The following is a 20,759-nucleotide window of genomic DNA, read 5'->3' as shown; positions in this document are numbered from 1 at the left end:
TTTTACAACAATCTTTCCTAAAAGTGACATGGGGGAACTACCTTCAAAATTCTTAGATAAATGTCTTTCAAATCTTCTTTGCCATCTTATCCTATAGCCTTGATACCAAATTAGTGCCCAACTCAATCTCCAAGATCTTTCAGAAAACTATATCATAAACTCAAGTCAGGTAGGCTTTTGTTACCTTCTTCTTTGGACATATGTAAATATGTAGTAATGTTTGTCTTTTCAGCTTTCATATCTTCTCATTATAGTCAGCCCTTGTATCCACGAGTTCTCCATCCATGGATTCAACCAACCTCAATTTGAAAATATTCGGGGAAAATAATGGATGGTTACATCTTTACTGAACATGTACAGCCTTTTTTCTTGCCATTATTCTCTAAACAATACAGTATGACAACTATTTACATAACATTTACATTGTATTAGGTATAAGTAATCTAGAGATGATTTCAAGTATACAGGAGGATGTGTGTAGGTTATATGCAACACTATCCAATTTTATATGAGACTCAAGCACTTGTGGATTTTAGTATCCAAGGAGGTCCTGAAACCAATTTCCCTTGGACCACTGAGGGACAAATGTATTTATATTATATTATAATATAATATATTTAGTCCCAGAAACCATCCATGCTTTGAAGCATTGCCAGTCAATGCTCTTTGAGTAAGGGAATGGTTGCTTTTTGTTTTGGATGGGGAGGAAGGGAGAAGAGAAAATGGGAGTGTCTATGTTACAATTGCAAATAAGCAAACAAAAATTCCCTGCAGTTTATTTTTCATCTATATGCTCACCAAAGAAACCAGTTCCAGGAGGCAGCCTGGTTCAGGCCAGTCCATTTACTCTCTGTGTGACACTGAGGGTGCTGGATGTCATTTCTGTATCTCAGTTTCTTCATTTGCAAAATTATAATATCTTCTTGCTGGTTTGTGGGAATATTAAATGAATTGAAGCATGTAAAGCACCTTACACAGACCCTACTGCGTTGTATTCATTCAGCAGCTACTAAAGTCTAACAGCATTTAAATTATTGAAAATTCAGTGTCCCTAAATATTATCCACAAGGGATGACTGATTTCAGGTGACAGTATTTGAGCATCTCTTCTGAAACATACTTTGATTCTTTTGATGTTTTGATAGATAGAAAGCTGCTTCTATTATCGTTCAGGCAATACAGTGACTGTCATCACATCCAAGATGGATGTGAATAACATCCATCACCTCTGGACACAAAAGCAGTAAGCACTTAAAATCTGATTTATATCATGACATACGTATGAGAGGTAACTTCTATGACTGTCTTTTAAAAATCTTTTTGCACTTTTGTTTCTGGTTCTGAATGTATCATAATAAAGGCCATTATACTATAATTGATTAACTTCACTACCTAGTGTAAACGTTCAATTCAACTCCACCCCTATTTATTGAGCCCTTATTATGTGCCAAACACAGTTCTAGGTATTTTGGTTCCATCAGTATACAAAAAATCAAAGATACCTGCCCCCAAGCGCTTACATTCTAGTGGGAGGATACAGAAAATAAATAATAAATGTAGTATGTAATATATTACATAGGATGTTAGACAGTGATAATTGCAATGGAAAAAAGAAAAAGTAGAGTAAGGGGGTGACCGAAATTCCACACTAATTAATGTCTCTCTGGGCCTGATAAATTTTGCATACCTTACATAGCTCAGACTGTTCTAGGCTATTTTTCTTTTCTGAGTTGATTCTCAGATAACAATCAGCTGACCAAACAACTTTCTGGTACTCTAGGAACAAAGTTATAATATATTATCTTGTATATTTAGAAAATGTTCATACACTATAGGGCCATTCCCATCCAATTAGAAAAAATTACCTTTAAACACATGCAATGATTGTGAGTTATGTATGCCTCAAATCTTCGTGTTAAAATAAAGGATTAGACCAAATGCAATGTTGCTCTTTAAGCACATCTCTCAGATGCCCCCTTTCCTCTCCACTACAGAAGTATATAACTATGGTAGACAGTATAATTGATGACCAGTAGGAGAAAACTAAAGGAGGCCATCATGATATGCCTTAAAAATGGATCTTGGAAATAAACTGTATATTTCAAACTGGGTTAACCATTTCTTCTTAGAAATTCTCCCTTTCAAAAGAAGAGTGTAAGGACTATGGGTGGGAACTACCTTCCACTGCAGCCCCTTCCCCCAAAAGAATAAAGTTTAATCTCCTTAAGCGCACACAGTCACCCGGCAATACATCCTGTAAATCTTTTGTATCTATTAGGATTGTTGGGGCTGCATATGATAGACATATATATATAAAAGTAAAAATATCAAACAAATATACAAATGGATTATAAATAAACTTATATTAATATAGATCTAGGATAAATATTTTTGGCCATTATTCCTACAAGGACAGTGGTGGTCCGATATATCCAAAGTCAAATTCTTTTAGGGATAAATCTCTTTCTACACAGCTAGGTTAGCAGGGCAGATGAGTCTGTGACCTAGCAATGAAGCCTTAATTGTAGCGAGCCCCGGGTTGGGAATGAGAGCTTCCCTAGATCTCTGAGTTCTTTAGGTTAATCCGACTGTCTCTTTCATTCTTTTGAGAGCCATAAGGGGAGTCCTTCCAAGAGCTTTAGGTACATGTCTCTAGCTATCTTTTGGGCACTCTTCATATACATCTTCTTGGTTCATCTTCCAAGTCAGAGCTTAGAAGTCTTCCAACATCTCCTTCCCTTACTCCCTGTATTGGTCAGAGTACCATCAGGGAAGCAGAGCCACTATGGACAAAATGAACCAAGGATTTTATACAACTATGGGGAGGAACTAGGGAAATGAAGGCCTGAAAATGATCAAAGAAAAGCCACTAACCAGCTTCTGCAGTGGAACTATGAAGAAGGCTGGTGTTGAAGTCTATGAAAGGTTTTTGGGTCTTTGTGGCAACTGTCTCTGTGAATCCCAGTGAACCATCTGGTGGTGGGCCTGGGGTCACTCTTGGCCAGCAGGGCTGGAAGTCAGGATGGAAAGCTGGATGTACTTGGGAAAAAGTGAGGAAAAACTAGAATCATGAAGGTAAACTGGAACCTACAAGGAAAAACTGGAACTCATGTTTGTCTCTCACTGCATCTCACCTGGTGATGAACAGGAAAAGCTGTATCACTAGTCTGAGAGCTGTCCATATGGAGAAGCTGAAGGAGGAGGTGGGTAGGGGCTAGACCAGCTGTGAGCCAGCCCAGACCAAGTGAGCCAGCAGATCAGTGATAAAATAATGGCTACTGTTTCATTTCCACCTTCCAGATTACACCAAAATGTGTGGCCACTCCTAACCCAGAGCCATACAGACAAGGAAATCCTGGGAAATGTAATTCCAGTTTCACTAAGTTGATAGAGTAACAAACCAATATACTCTTTACATATCAATCAATTTTAATTTGTACAGATTTCTAACTATATCCACCCCTTCCTTTCTTTCTCTGTTATCACTGCTCCAATTCAGATTCTTGGCCCCTTTTTCCTGGTCTATCAGCACAGCAGAGACATAAGACATTTCACAAGTTTCAAGTCCTGTTTGTAGGCACTTCAGAAAGCCATCTGCTATGCCAAGGTATTGCCCATCTTGCTCTTTTGGGCACCCAGAAATCTCTGGGACATGGTTGAGGTTGTTTGGCTTTATTGGCCAATATTGCTGGCCTCAGTCTTGTCCCCTGCTGACATACACTTATTGGTACTGCGCCTATGTCCTCATTAATACTTGAGAAGGTATATGGGCCAGAAAGGAGAGGGGAAGCAGATAAGGATAGTAGCTAACACTTATTGTGCTATTATCTCTTACCCTCACAACAATATCTCAGTTAATATCTCCATTTTATAAAAATTTTACAGCAGCTAAGTGAACCATCCAAAGTTAAACTATCAAACAGATGAACTTAGACCTAGGAGTGTTTGTTCCCAAAGCAGATGTTCTATATATTGTACTAAAAGAGCCTGCAACAGCATAGAACCCTGGGCTGCCCTTCCTTTTGGGTTTTCACAACCAACAGCTGGATAGTCTATCTCTCTAGGTTTGGGCTCTTGTCAGGCTGGGCTGGTGATCCACTTGCAGTAGTTCTGGAGTTAGTGCCCAACACAAATGCCTCCTTGAGCCAGGCAGATACTATAAATGAGTGAAAAGATAGGGAGTTGGGATGGATGAGAAGTGGTGAGGACTGTGGCAAACTGGGGAGATGTGCTCTACCTAAGACGCACAGGAGTTAATCAACTCTGGCCAATGATTTTCTGGCTGGAATGAGGACCCAGCGTTACATAAAAGAAGTTGTGATATCTCTTGACTTTAAATATTGACTCAGTACCTTTGTTAAAGATAATGTGGTCCTAACAGTATTTTAAGCTGTTTTATGGGCTAACCAGAACACTGATTAGAGGCACTCAAAGCTGCTCATTTGAAAAATTCCACTCCAGAGAGAATTTTCCTGACTTCCATGGCTTTCTGCATATCACTGTAGGCTCCTCCAAAAGTTGATCCAAATACTACTGGGATGGAGAGGGTCACAGGTCAACCCAGTTCTGTGGTTGGTTGGGCTGCTTTGGATGCTAAGAAGCCTGCAGACCCGCAGGCCACTGCTGATGAGAATCAGGTAAGAGCTTAAAACCAAGGCATCTGTACAGAAATTGACCTGTTAGAACTGCCCAGGGAAAAATTGACAGTGAGAACGCATGTCAGTGGATGACATGTGAAGTGTGAGTTAAGTGTGCATATGAGATCAGTGTGTAGATGAGTAGAAAGAGAAAAGAGGGGAGAATGACAGCCAATAGTAAATTTTTTTAAAAAGGGGAAAGAAAGGCGAGAGAAAGGAGAAGCCACTTTCACTGAGTACATTCGCAGACATGTTCTATCTGCTAATGTTTATTTTCCCTCAATATATGCAGGGGCAATTAGGTGTTAATGCTCATTAGGCCAGAAATGGGCAATTGTATTACTAAGGGAACTAAATTCAGGATTTATTTTCTGGTCCCTGTTTTCTCCAGAATCTTTCTTTCCTAACAAGTTATAAACTGTCCCCTATTGTCTTTGTGCTAACTGCTTAGAAATGTCCTGGGCTTGGTTTGGGCATCTCAGAAACCTGACTGAATAAGAAAAGGGTGGCTAAGTAAATGTAAAGACTGTAATTAGGACCAAGTTCTGTGGTGAAGGAACTAGGACCAGCATTTTACTAAGTAAGCAAGTAAATTTACGAAACTGCATTCACTGGTGATCTAGCCTTGCCATGGAAGTGAAGGAACAAGAAAGTGGACACAGTAGGCAAGCTGAATGGCACCACATCACCACCTCAGAAGGGGCTCTGCCTTCAGGGCTCCTCAACTTCAGTAACCCCATTCTTAACCCACCTTGTCCCTATAGGAAGCTAGAAGAGGTTGAATGCATATTCTGAAACTTCTTTTTTCCACTTTATGAGAAAAAAATTATACAATTTGGGGTAATGCTCATATGGTGGATATGCAGTTTTCACATCATAAAAACACAGGTGCTAACTGAGCCTGGTGTGTGCAACACTCCTACGCAGAAACCAGCAGTGACAGAGAACCCCAGAGTCAGTTACACCAGCATAGTTTGCATTTTTAGAGGGTGGGAAGGGAGGACAGAAAGGATCTGAGATGCACAGAGCAGTGGTTTAGCCCATGGATTCTGCTGCACGGAGGCTTCAGAACCTGAATGTTATGGAAAAGATACCACCATGTTTTACTGAATTTGGTATGTCCCAGATTTTAACAAACTTCCCATTCCCAAGACCCACTGCCATCCCCAATTAAGAAAGATTTTTAAAAACCAAGTAAAGTTACATTTTCTCATTAAAAAAAATAAGGGGCTTTGTCTTCATCTTCTTGGGTCAGGAATATTTTCAAGGATGTGATGAAAAGTACGGACCACACTCTATAACAATGCATAGGCCCACAAAGACAAACCTTTCCAAACTTTTCCCTAGGACTTTGGTTTTCAACTTGTCAGCTCATTAGAATCACCTGGAGAACTTTAAAAATTACACACACCTGGATTCTATTCCCAAACAACTAAATCAGTATAGCTTAGAGTAGGGCTTGGGCACAGTATAATTTTAAAAAACCTCTTCAGGTGGTGTTAATGTATAGTTAAGGCTGAGAATAAGTGCCTGTAATTGAACACAATAGGAAAAAAATGCCAGGAACGGTGGCTCATGCCTGTAATCCCAGCACTTTGGGAGGCTGAGGACGGTGGGTCACTTGTGGCCAGGAGTTCGAGACCAGCCTGGGCAACACAGCAAACCCTGTCTCTACTAAAAGTACAAAAATGAGCCGAGTGTGTTGGCATGTGCCTGTGATCCCAGCTATTCGGGAGGTTGAGGCACAAGGATTGCTTGAACCTGGGAGATGGAGGTTGCAGTGAGCCAAGATCGCACCACTGCACTCCAGCATGAGCAACAGAGTAAGACTCTGTCTCAAAAAAAGAAAAGAAAAAAGTTTAGAAGAAAAGAAAACCCAGAAGGAATATACCCCTAAAATACCTCATTGGAAGGATGTACTATAGAAGTTACTAGAAATAAAGAGGAAAGAAGACAACTTGGCAAATGGCTTGCCCTTCGTTGCTAATTCCAGTCTATTGTTGCTCCCTTCACCTTAAAAATACAACACCTGCTTGGAGTTGCGTGCCATAAGCCCAACATGCCCAGCCACGTCTCCTTGTTTCAGTCTTCTACACTCCCCCACCATCAGAGTCCTTTTCCCTCAGTCCTTAAAATTTTAGCTCCTAACTGTCATTCCCTTCACCGTTACTCCTGACAATCCTTGGTGATTTAAATGTTCACATAATCCTTCTGGTATTCTGGCCTGTCAGTGCCTTGACTTCATCCATTTCAAAGATCATGTCTACACCATTCTCTGCCACCCACTTTCACAGTCATATTCCACCAGATCTTGTCATTATAAATTATTTAAATCCCTTTATAACCTCAATTCCAAGCATCCAACCCGCTGACCACTACATCTTATTGTTCCAGCTTACTCTCTCTAGTGCCCCACCTCCAAAAATCCTCCTCTTCACCACTTACAACTTATTGATCCTACTAGCTACGGATTGTCCCTTACTCCATCCTCATATCATCACTTCTCTCCTTATCTATCATTATCATTTCCTTTCTCACATCATTGTCTTTGCTTGACAAAAGTACAGCCCTGTTTAAATCCATATCTACACCTACTCTGTGTTCCTATGCATACAAATGCACTTGGCTGGAGAAAAATACCCATCCATACATGACCATCAGCCTCAAATGGGCCCTAGGGCTGCCTGTTAATCTCACTAAATTCTCTTGTCCATTTACTTTCTCCAACTCCCATATTATTTTGTATCTTACCCTCTTCTCCAGTACTTCCTTCCCTGCCCCACTTTCAGCTAATGACCTAGCTTCCATTTTCTCTGAGAAAAGAGAAGCAACCAGAAGAGAACTTGTTCATGCCCCCACCGTGATATCCTCTCACCTAGCTGTATCTGTGTCCATATATTCAGCCTTTCCTCCCGTTACACTGGAGGAACACTTTGTGCTCCTAAGGGCAAGCCTTCCAGCTGCACAACTAGGTCCCATCTTCACTTCATCACTCATAGTCATCACTGCAGAAATTCTCCGCCCATTCCTCTGTTATGTTCAGTTTTCCCATTTCTAATGGTCATTTCCATTAGCATAAAAACAGGCTATTGCTTTTCCCATCTGAAAAATAGTTTTGACTCCTTGACATTTTCTATTATTTAATTTCTCTGCTCCTGTTTACGGCAAAAGTCTTTGAAATAATTACTTCTTCCTGCTGTCTCTTCTTTCCTTCCATTCTCTCTTAAACCCAATTTTAACTTAATTTTTGTCCTAATTCATTGAAATAGCCATTTTCAAGTTCACTAATGACTTGCACATTGCTATATCCCAGCCAACTAGCAGACTACATCTTACTTCATCTCTCGGTATTTCATTGGATCAATCACTCTTTCTTCACCTGGCTTCCACTCTTGGTTTTCCTCCCCTGTCAGTGTATGTTTCTTTCCAGTTACCTTTGCTGATTGCTCCTCATCACCCCAAACTTTAAACTTTGAAGTGTTTAAACTTTGAGGCTTAGTTTTCATACCTCCTCTTTTCACAATCCACACTAGCTTCCTTGGTGATCTCAACCAGGTTCTCTGCTTTGAACATGCACTTTGAGCATGCTGATTGCTCCCAGATTTATGTCTCTACCCAGAACTCTCTCCCAAACTCCAGACTTGAACATCTAATTGCTTTCTCGGCACCCATATTCCCCATCCTCCTCTGCTTTTTTTCCTCCTAGGAAATCATCTGTCTGATATATTTCCTTTTTAATGTTATTATCTGTTCATTATCTGTCTCTACCCACAAGACTATAAGCTCCATAAGGGCTGGGATTCTTGGTCCATTTGCCCATTTGCCTGGCACAAGTATTCAATGACTATTGTTTGAATGAGTGAATGATGTAAAACTCTAGACTCTGAAAATAAATGGGAGAAAATAAATGGGAGATCTTGCATGCTAGATCACTAACAAAGACCAATTTAAAGGCATCTTATAGAATCTCCCCATTTGCCTGAGGGGTGGCAACTGAAAATCAGCTATTGAGGCCCAGTGACTGGACAAAAGCCTGGCCAGAGGGAGCTTGTTCTGTTTTAGCAGCGTCCCTTGGGAGGGCTACTCCTCATCTCTGCTGGGGATATGCCCGTGGCAAGTAGGACCAGAGTTCCCAGAATGGATCCTGGAGGACTTGTCCCAGTGATGCTCCATGAAGAGGAGCCTCCATGGTCACATTCGCACTCTTGGATAGTCATAGCTGAAATAGCGTATTAGACACTAAGAAAAGCCCTGCAATACAGGAGCCTACTTTCATTCTTTTCCCCTACACATTCAATGGTAGAGAACTTTTATTCATAACTCCTTACCATTTATTTGAAAAACACTTGTAGAAACTCCAAATTAGAATAGAATGAAGCAACATTCTAGGCAAGCATGTAAAGCTGGACCTGTAGGGATATCCTTCCTCAACATGCACACAACCAACCCACTTCAGCTACTTTTGTGAGAAAGTACTCGGATTTCAGTAGTGAAGGAAAGAAATAAGGAAAAAAGAAACAAGGAAAAAAAGACCTGAGAGTTGGAGTAGACCAAACCTGAATATAGTGGGCACTGGAGCACTGATCAAAAGAGAAACATGTGTCAGGCTGCATTGTTAGAAAAGTGACTTAGAAAAGCTGAAGTTTTTTGTGTATTTGCTTGTTTTGCAATTAAGAGAGTCATAACAGATATTGGCTATCACCTGGGGTCATTGTAGTTGGTGCAGTGAGACAGGTGTGGGCAAATCACATCATTTGGTGCTTTCAGTTTATAAGCAATCTCTTGTTTCAGTGATTATTAAGGATAAACTTAGAAGGAGACAGGAATCTTAATTAGACATGTCCATTCTGAAAGTCTGTGGAACGAGGAAAGGACTCTTCTACTATCTTTGTCTTTGGTGAGGAAGGAGGAGTTTATTAACTGAATACACATATATGAAACCCTCAAGTTTTTTTTCCACACTTGTGCTGAAAGCCTCCTCTTGTTCCTCCACACTCCACCTCTTGAGTCATTTCCTAGTCACCTGTCATTATATTGTGGGGAGAGGAGGAAGTGGCGGCGGGGGGAGGGGGCACACAAAATGTGGGGCCTGGGAACTATCCCAACTTACCACACCTGGGACAGCACTGTCACCACATTTAAGAGCAGATGTAGCAAAGTGTGATGTCTAGAGAAAAACTAGGGAAAAAATGATAGCATTATTGGAAACTAGGTCCTATAAAAGAATGTTGAGCCCATTTGGTGAAATATTTAGAGAACAGACCACATGGTGTCTTCAAATAAACAAGTGGAGGTTTATTTAAGGGTGTGAGCAATTGTGTTGCTGTGGCAGAGGGTGGAGATGTAATTAGAGGGTATATTTACTAATCTTGAGAATATTTTTGCAGCTCCTACAGCTAAAGTCCAATGAGAATTCCAATAGACAACCACCTTGGAAGACTTGTGGGTCATAATAACCGTGGGTTTGCAAACCAGCTGGAGCCAGCTCTTTGATTGGTGCCCTCTGCCCCTGCCCCTTCTTAGTTGGATGTTGCAGCCAATTGTGTGTAAACGGGAGCTCATCTTCCACACTGTCTTAAGTGGCATTCTCTACCAGGTGATTTAACTGCATAATTCATTGCTTGATTCATTCTTATACCAGTAGAGAGAAATTCACATTTTTATCAGCCTTAGAAGAACTTTGCTCGTGGATTTCCAAAAGTACAAATTAAAAGATCATGAAGAGAATTTGATCAATATTTCACTTTATCTTTAACATTCCTTAAATGCCTGCTTGTTTGCCTGCTTTCTGTTCTGCGTCTAAAGCATTCACAGAGCCCATAGGCTCTTTTGGGGCAACCTGTGGCTCTCCCAGACTGAAACTTCCATAAAGCACTGTATGGGGCACAGAGAGGTTGTTTAGCTGCTCTGGCAGTTGGCAATTAACATCTTCGTGAGATCACCTCAACTGAGGTGTGCAGAAAAGTCAAAAATAAAACAGAACTCTTCAGACATTATTTTATCATTTAATTAGAAACTAACACCTGTTCCTGGGTTTTGTACTGCTTTTCAGTTACATCTTCTATGACTAAAACAAGACATTCGAGTATATATCTATATTTACAAACCATAATAGTGTCTAAATTTTGAAACAATGAAACTACTAGATGAAATTATAAGCTAGAAATCTTTAATATTTACTGTGTAGTATTACATGGTGTATATGTACCACATTTTCTTTATCCAATCCACTGAATATGGGCACCTAGGTTGATTCCATGTCTTTGCTATTTTGAATAGTGCTGCAATGAACATACATGTACATGTGTCTTATGGTAGAACAATCCATATTCCTTTGGGTATATAACAAGCATGAGATTGCTGGGTCAAATGGTAGTTCTGTTTTTAGTTATCTGAGAAATATCCAAACTGTTTCCCACAGTGGCTGAACTAATTTACATTCCCTTCTATCCATAGCCTCGCCAACATCTATTATTTTTGGACTTTTTATTATTAGCCATTTGACTGGTGTGAGATAGTATCTCACTGTGGTTTTTATTTGCATTTCTCTTATGATTACAAGTGGGAGCTAAACATTGGGTACATATGGACATAAACATGGGAAACACTGGAGACTGCTAGAGAGGGAAGAGAGCAAAGGCTGAAAACCTACCTATTGGGTATTATGCTCACTACCTAGGTAGTGATCATTCTTACCCCAAAACACAGTGTCATGCAATATGCATACGTAAAAAACCTGCACATGTATCCCCTGAATTTAAACTAAAAGTTGAAATTATTTTTTAAAAATGACATAATCATCATCATGTGTGCTGGACTGCAATAATGGCCCCAATATTCATGCCTCCCTCTATCCTTACCCTTTGGTGCTAGCCCTCCGTGCTGACTCTGGGTTTGGCCATGTGGTTTGCTTTGGCTAATGAGACACCAGCAAAGGCTTGGAAAGGGATTTGCTTGTTTCCACTTTCTTTCTTGGACCCCCATCAGAGTATGACCAGGCTAGCCTGCTGGAGGGATGTGAGAGCCATGTTGAGAAGAACTGAGTTGTCTCAGCCAAGGCCAATCTGCCTTTAATCCCAGATAAATGAGCAAGCCCAGCCAAGATCAGTTAAGCCTACCCCAGATGAGCTGAGCTATGAAGCCAATCCACAGGCTCATAAGAAATAATAAATGTTGGTTGTTTTTAACCACTAAAGTTTTGGTGTTGTTGGTTACGCAACTGTAGCTAGCTGATACACTGTCTTCTTAGGTGCATTAGGATTTTCTTTGCTTGAGGGAATATTTTTTAAGAATCTCTAGAGGCCATTTCGGGGAGCATGCTGTAGTCTTAGTATAAATAACAATCATTTGTTTCAGGCAAAACTGTCTGCCACTGGACTTTCTCCTAGAAAGGCAGCAAACATCTGCAGGGTATTACAGTAGTGTTAGGAGAAAGAGGAAGTAGCCTTGTCAAGGCTTACAAAATGAATGCTCTTATTTACTATAGACAAATGATTGGAGGGTGTTGTAATTGGGTGAGTGGCAAATGCAGACAGACTGTGGGGTGGTGACATGAGTGATGCTAGAACTCTTAGGTAGAAGATGGGGCTTGGCCGCCCCTGGTTTTCTGGAGATACAGAATCACACTGACTACATAATAATGATGGTGATGATAGCTAACGATTATTAAGCACTCACTTCCAGTCATACTACATGCTTTACATGCATTCTCTCATTTCTCATAATAACTCTATGAACTGGGTATTAGGTAATATCATTAGCTCCATTTTACAAATAATGAAACTGAGGCTCAGACAGCTTCTTCAAGGTCAAATTGTGCTTAAGTCATAGAGCCAGGATCAAATTCAGGCAGTCTGACTCTTTGGAGTCATGCTCTCGACCTTTCTACTATTGTAACCAAATACTTATTTTTTCAGAAAAAGAGAAAAAGGAATTTAGTATAATTCCCTCATTTGGCAGATGGACAACTGAGAGCCAGAAGTGTTTGGTGTAGAGATTCTTTGACTAACAAGGTTTAAAGGAATTCTCCCCTCTAGGTCCAAACCACCAAAAGCTGAACAAAATTCACACTGATTTTTGTGAGGCTTCATCTAAGACCAGTTTGTACATACAGGTATGCCTTTTGTGTACTGCAAAATGGTGCCCAGGTGAGGGTTGGGTAGGGTCTGAAATCTACAGTGCACCCCCCTCACCAAGCCCTGTGTCCTAGCATACATCTTCCTCCTCGCAGAGGAAGAGGTACTTTTGAAGATAATTTTTTTGCACAGAAAAGGAGTTGTTTTGTTTTTTGCATTTCCACAAAAGCACCAGATGTGCTCGGAAGTCCCTGCTAAAACACTTGCAAATTGTGCCCAATAAAACACAGCTAAAGAGTGTCCCAATTTTTCACACACACACAAAATTATGAGAAGTGTGACTAGTTGGTGCTCAGTAAATACTTGTTGAATGAGTGAATTTTAAATGAGCAAAGATGCCCTCGTTATACACAGACACATAGGGACCAAAGCACATGGGACACACAAATTCACAGCCAGAACCCAAATCCATGGCACCAACTCATCCACGAGAAATAACTGATTTCCTGTGCACATTTATCTAATTTGTGCACACTTAAAAAAAAAATACGTACTGTTTCCATAAGACATCACCTCATTTCTATGATTTCTATATTAACATACATATTATATTTCTTACTTCTATTTTCTATTTCATGAAATTCAAACTACAAGAAACTTTAGAGCTGCATTATTCCCCATCTGAACTTACTCCCCAGTGACGCTTTTTCTCTTCTAGAACAAATAAAACTGATTGCCCTTGCCAAACTTGGTGGCTTGCAATTACCTATTTTAATGCTTCACAAGAAACCTAGGCAAGCCAATTGCTTCCTCCATTCTCACATCCTTCCCCACTGTGGCCCACACCTCTGCTGACTGCAGTGATCTGAACTGAGTACTCACAAAGGCCACTCTTCTCTCTCTGCCTCTAATAACCCGGTATAACAATTGTGGTGAGTAATTTCCTTACCACTTCTGTTGTTAACAAATGCTAATAATACTGCACGGTACAGATCAAGCCCAGCTACTGAAAAAGAAACTACACAAATTATTTTTTAAAGTTATCATCAAAAGAAATGCTTTTCTGCAGGAAATTTTTTTAACTGCTCAAGGCGTTTGCCTAGCCCTGCTTAACTGACCGCTTCTTTGTTAATTAACAAGTGCATCTGCTTCACGAATGAAAACGGTTCATCTTATCTAAAGCACACTTGCAGGCTTTTTTGGGTGGATGTAACTATAGGGAAGTCATCGTCATAATTTTCTAGAACCAAGGTCACCTATTTTCATGACGCCTGGGTGAATAGGCTGTGGGTGGTCTCCCATTCTGATGCTCACTAAATCTTATTCTATCTGCAAGAATCAGGATTCAGCTGGTGACTGGTTTCCTGCTATATCTAATTATATTTCTTGTACATGCCAATAATCAACTAATTAATCCAATCAATTTTTTATGCATCAAATATTTAGTAAGGACCTTTCCATGCCAGGCATTGTGCCAGGCCATGGAAAGACAGCAGTGGTCAAGACTCAGATGAGATCCTTGCATTACACTGTGACAGAAGGCAGTTATCTGAGGTTCTCCTCCCTAAAATAAAGTGAAAAAAATGACCAAATAATGTAACCCAATATTGTCAAGATGAATTCTACTGCAAAGCCTAACAAAGGAGTGCCAACAGCATGTTATATAGCTGAGCTCTTGTTCCATAATAATGTCTCCAATTAATTTTCTCCAATAGATGAATTCAAAAGTAACTAATGTCAAGATACCATCTCATGCCAATTAGAATGGCGATCATTAGAAGGTCATGAAACAATAGATGCTGGAGAGGATGTGGAGAAATAGGAAAGCTTTTACACTGTTGGTGGGAGTGTAAATTAGTTCAACCATTGGGGAAGACAGTGTGGCATTTCCTCAAGGATCTAGAACCAGAAATACCATTTGACCCAGAAATCTCATTACTGAGTATATACCCAAGGGACTATAAATCATTCTACTCTAAAGACACATACATATGTATGTTTATTGTGGCACTGTTCACAATAGCAAAGACTTGGAACCAACCCAAATGCCCATCAATGGTAGACTGGATAAAGAAAATGTGGCACATATACACCATGGAATACTACGCAGCCATAAAAAAGGATGAGTTTGTGTCCTTTGCAGGGACATGGATGAAGCTGGAAACCATCATTCTCAGCAAACTAACACAAGAATAGAAAACCAAACACCACAGGTACTCATTCATAAGTGGGAACTGAACAATGAGAACACATGGACACAGGGAGGGGAACATCACACACCAGGGCCTGTTATGGGGTGGGGGGTGGGGGAGGGATAGCATTAGGAGAAATACCTAATGTAGTTGATGGTTTGATGGGTGCAGCAAACCACCATGGCAGGTGTATACCTTTGTAACAAACCTGCACGTTCTGCACATTTACCCCAGAACTTAAAGTGTAATTAAAATAAAATAAAATAACAAAAAAGTAACTAATGTCATGACTTCCGTTATCTTCCTAGTGTTTTACACTAATATGTGTTTTATAAGCCTTTCTCCAAATTCATATAAGTCTAGGTTATTTTTACTGAAGCTTCAGTCATAGTATGACGCTAAGTATTTGCTCATGGTTTTAATTACTATGGAGATCTCAAAGACAAAAATCATTTTATGAGCAAAGGCTACCCTTTTACCTCTTGCTCATCGTATAAAAATCATGACATTCACATGGGTCACCAGCAGTAAATGGCCTACAGAAATTATGGAAGGAAAACTCCATGTAACTGAAAAATCATCTCAAATGCATATTGGTCTCATCATGATTTCTGTCATCTTCACACATAAAGGCCAGCATGCTTTCGTTTTCTCAAGCATGTGTGTAATTATGGTTTGGCTCGTGTCTTCACAGAGTAGTGACCTGATAGCATCTAGAGAAATACCAAACACACATATGCTCAATAAATGTTTTCTGATGATGTAATGCTTCCTATTTATTGTTTTAATGGCAAGTCATTTTATCTTTCAGATTGGCACATTTTTATGGTAAATGCTGAATAATGAATTTAAGAATCCTCAACTTAGAGTTTAAAAAATTCCTTGAAAGCAATTCTGTCACCTTACCTCCTAATTTTCAGAATGCTATTTAATCTGCCAGTGACTAAGCTTGTAGGAAAAACCTTTTTTGTTGTTAGGTAAAGGAAAATGTGGGTGGAGAGAATGAGGTCTGGTTTGTATCCACCTCATAATTTGGACTGTCCAAGATAGAGGAAAAAGGAAATCTCAGCCCTCCCCAGCTAGGGATATGAGGTTGCTTAGAATTCCATTTTTGGGGAAGTCCATTACCAAAGTTATGTAAATTCTCAAGTAACAAATTGACTCAGCATGTTCCTAAGCCGCAGACCTCTTAGGTGAAGTATGCTAAATACACGTCATTTGCCTATTTGCTCTCATTAAGTGACAGGGAAACCATGTATTTTCCCCACCTCATACACACACAAAGCGGAAGTACACTAAGCTCCCCTGTTGGTCTTGTTCTTATTCACCTTTCTTGCAATTAAGACATTCTGCACCTGACCTTAGCAATTAATTTAAATTACCTTCACCGCTCCCCTCCACCATGATATTCCAGTGAGCTTAAACAATTATAGCTACTCTTCTCTTGCCAAAAATGCTTTTCTTATCTTTTGTGTAGCTAGGAAAATTATTTCACGTTATAAATCTATTTAGAAATCGGCTGGGATTGTCAAAGTTCTAACCACCACATTCCCCAAAGCTTACTTTCTATCATCAGCGATAGCAGCCACTACTATCACACTTTTTAAAAAAGTGTGATCCACAAGAAAGCTTTTCCTCAATTTCTGAAAAAAGGCAGGGAACTAACATTTAATGAGTTAATCCCTGCTATTTGCAAGAAAGTTTTAATGGACTTACATATATCATTTAAAGTCAAAGTTTCTTACTTTTTCATTAAAGACTGATAGTTTTTCCTGTGAATAAAGGAGTTAGAGTGAGCAGAGTTTATAGAAAACATACAGATATGTGAGTCTTAGGCTTCCCATTGCCAACAAGGTGCTCTTCATTTTATACAATGCCAGGGATTTTCTGCCACCCTCACCACAGTTCCCGTATTAATCACGTCCATTCCTAACACTAACAGAAATCATCCTAGGCCGCTGTATCACCGTGCCAGTAGCAATATTCGTGTCTTAGCAGTAGCTATCCCATCACCATTTATTAAGTGTGACCTTGGGCAGGTTTCCTCATCCCTCTGTGTCTCCAGTTTCTCATCTCTAAAGTGGATGACAATAGTAGCTACCTCACAAATGTGAGGCTTAGGTTTATGGTACTTCATTGAATCTACATTGCCATTGATTGTGAGAGGCAGCTGGTTTCAGAAATATTAATTTATGAATATAATGTCCACGAATAGATGACATATAGTAATAGCTAAAAAATATCTAAGTACGAAATTAAGAATAGTGCCTGGCACAATAGGATGTGTCCAACAGATGCCAACTGAGATTATCTATTAGCGACCCATGGGCAACAGGGTAAAAGTGGGCTTGTCAAGCCTCCTGTGGGCCATGATATGGATTCTTCATCTGAGGAAGAACACCTGGAGTACATCCTTGTTGAGTTTTCCTGGGCAGGTCATGCCACTGTTCTGGGCCTCTGTAAATAGGGGGCTAGATTAGTCACCTTTAATTTCTTTTTTCCTACCAGGTAAACATATTTTTCCAAATGAAATCTTACATAGGACCCGAAGTGTAAAACAGATAAAAGGATTTGTTCTGGTTGAAGCAGGGCTGGAGGAGCACCAAGCTCTGCCTATCATCTTTCCTCCCCTTTACCTGCAGGGAAACCCCACCAAGAGTCCTTTCAGGGCAGTCATCTCACCTTGTTGTCATAGTAAGATCATGAGTCTCCCAACACGCCTACAGGTGTTTGTTAATTACTCCAAACTTTGTCATATTTCACCTTATTGGGCTGAATCATTTAGTACTTAATATGTGCATTGCACAGACACTTTCTATTATACTTTTCTTGCTTTCCTCCACTTTGGTCTCCAAACTCCTTCCAATCTGTCTAACATAACTGAGACCATATTTTCATCTCAGTCAGATCACCTGATGACCCTTCCCAGATTTAGTGTAATGCTCGCAGAAGACACAACATGAAGGGTGTTGAACTTTTATTCCATATAAAGCTTTCTGCTCTCAAGGACTTTTTATTCTAATGTCTTCTTCTTGAAACCCTCCTTGAGCTCCATCTCAGAAAGCCTCCACCCAATAACAGATTCAATTTAACTTTTTTTTTTTTTTTTTTTTGAGACAGAGTTTTGCTCTTGTCACCCAGCCTGGAGTACAAAGGCACAATCTTGGCTCACCACAACCTCCACCTTCCGGGTTTAAGCAATTCTCCTGCCTCAGCCTCCTGAGTAGCTGGGATTACAGGCATGCGCCACCGCACCCGGCTAACTTTTTGTATTTTTAGTAGAGACGGGGTTTCTCCATGTTGGTCAGGCTGGTCTTGAATTCCCGACCTCAGGTGATCCACCCACCTCAGCCTCCCAAAGTGCTGGGATTACAGGCGTGAGCCACCACACCTGGCCCAATTTAACTATTTTTGTGTATCCATTATGAGCTTATGGGAAACATAACTTTCTTTTCCTGGATTCTTCACATATAGCTTAGCAGATAAATGAAAACAGAATTACTCTATTCAGTATCCCACACAAATTGTGTAAAGTGTTTCTTCTCTGATGGTGCCTGCTGGATTTGTGTATATGTGAATAACTCAGGCTTGGTATGAGTTATGTGCAGTGTACAATAGGAGCTAACTGAAGGCAGTTTCCACAGAAGCCCATGGTTGTGGCAACTCAGAGAGCTTTGACACAGAGAACAATTGACAACATGTAAGAGAATGTTTTCTAAAATAAAATTACTCTTTAGGGATTCAGAAAGTAAGCAGGATATTCCCAAATCATCTTTCTCCTACATACTAAGCAGATATTGTCTCTTTATAACAGTTTTCCTTCACTTATATTTCCGTAAATTAGAAGAAGTCAAACAGTGTTATTTGTTTTTCTGCACAGGATCATTGATTCAAGGAAGGAAAAAAAAAACCCCAAAGCTCAAATACCAAAAGTCATTTAAAAGAGCCTCTTTCTAGTCCTTAGAGAGATTATAGTATTCAATTTGTTTTATTTTAAACAACTATTTAGAGGCTAGAAAGGTTTATTTAATAAAACAATTACAATTAAAATACGTTTTAGTTTCATGGTATGCAGATTTGAATATGAAACAAAGTGGAAGAAAAAAGTGAAGTAAAGAGGAGAAGAAATCTGGGAGGAATGAGCAACAAAAGAGGAAGGAGGAATAGAGAGACCCAGAGAGGAAGCAGGAGGGAGACGAAGGGAGAGGGAGGCAGACAAGCAGAGCTTTGCCATGTCTGTGGCTCCCTTGGGTGGTGGCTGCTAGCAGTCATCATTCTTAACGATTACTGTTGACCTTCCCCAGCCTCTATTAGGTTTCTAATAACCTAAATGTAAACATTTCTAAATGCTGACCTGAACACCAGCGCCATTAAAAATAATTCTCTGAAGACAGTAGCAATGACCAGAGCAGTGGTTCTGAGAGCTGGATAAGTCAAGTCAAGGGCCAGAGAGTCCCTCATCCCTGTCATGTCATTAAAGCTTCTGATTGATGCAGATCTTGATGACAGAACAGCTTTGACTAAATACGTTAATCTGACCTGTGATGACTTAACTGCCAATATCCAAAATCATTGAACCACCTATCTCTTAATTTCATGAAAATTTACTTTTAGTTGATTCTTGTTACAAGCATGTTTCTTTTGTATTCCTGGTTTTCCTTCTTCTTTTGCACTGATATCCCCCTTGGTGTGTATTTTAAAGTTCTGAGAGCTAAATGGAGCAAAAGGTGAGTGTTTCGATGTTCTCATAACAATGAAAAGGCTTGAAAAACATAGAAAATGAACAATAAGTAAATGTAAATAACTAAGTCATACTTTTGCCCTTTCTTGTTGTCAAGATAACTGATTTCCTGATTGATTTTTGTCTATGCTATTCAAGACCCAAATGACGGCAGAAGTTTATTCATTTCTTTCTCTCTTCTTTTATGGATATAAAACACTGGAAAATTATTATTAGGTCTTATACTGGACCAGGTTGTCACTAGTTAAAGTCAATGAAAGAGAAGCAATTGGATATTCTGGCCCAGATGGGGAGCTGATTAATTTATTTAATTAACCAAGAAAAGATATACATTTAAATTCTAGTTATTATCAATAATAATTTTGCAAACAGACTCTCCTTCTTACCCCAAACCCATGTCAGGAACGTCTTCATTAAGGTCCAGTCCCTTTATGGAATCCATGAACTAACTGCACAGGCTGTTCTGTTTAATCCAACATCAGCAATGGAGGCAGTTCCCTGCTGTAGAGAGAAGTCGTCAGGCTCTGGAGAGAGTTCCTCCAATCACTTCAATGTCTTACTTATCTTCTTTGTGCTTCGGTAGTAAAGAGGCACACTCAAAATACCTATTTCTCATGGTTGTTGCTTTAAATGAGATTATGTCTATAAACCACTTAGATACAAAAGTGTTTGCTAGAATAATCATTGATAGTATCTTTTTGATTGGCCCAAAGTCTTTTTTCAGAAAGAGCCATCCCATTTCCCTTTATTTGCAGCAACAGAGTCTATCAGATATAACTATTTCTCAGTTTAAAGGGTGACTTCAGGGTAGTCTTGGAGCCAATTTGGTAAATCTCACAGAGTCTGTGTTTTCCTGGTCTGCACTTTGTTAATTAGTCATTCGCGTTTTTAGAACTACCGTACACCCTGTATATGGAGAAACCATATTTAAAGAATTGAAGTAAAATAAAACATTCAGCACTGAAACTGTAGTGAGCACATTCTTTTGATGGCTCAGATGCCGTTTCAGGATTCTGTGGTCCCTTGTCCTCCCCACTCCTGAATGTGGTATATGATTGGATCTCTCTATATATAAGAAGTATATATTATATCCAATTCTTTTTCTAAAATAATGA

General features: G+C 39.7%; 1 long non-coding RNA gene across 1 annotated transcript in view; it reads right to left on the bottom strand.

Moving 5' to 3' along the window:
- The window catches only part of IL21-AS1 (IL21 antisense RNA 1), a 70,174-nt gene that overhangs the window by 40,130 nt on the left and 9,285 nt on the right, over positions 1 to 20,759 (bottom strand). Inside the window, exons 7-9 of the long non-coding RNA NR_104126.1 lie at positions 20,031 to 20,142; positions 799 to 926; positions 185 to 299 (exon numbers count right to left, since the gene is read on the bottom strand). This is a non-coding gene — a long non-coding RNA (IL21 antisense RNA 1). The remainder of the gene's footprint in view (positions 1 to 184; positions 300 to 798; positions 927 to 20,030; positions 20,143 to 20,759) is intronic.

This window comes from Homo sapiens, chromosome 4, assembly GCF_000001405.40.
Source record: "Homo sapiens chromosome 4, GRCh38.p14 Primary Assembly".
In the NCBI taxonomy this organism is placed as follows: Eukaryota; Metazoa; Chordata; class Mammalia; order Primates; family Hominidae; genus Homo; species Homo sapiens.
The sequence above is the reverse complement of the archived record's forward strand: the minus strand, read 5'-3'. Positions and strand labels throughout refer to the sequence as shown.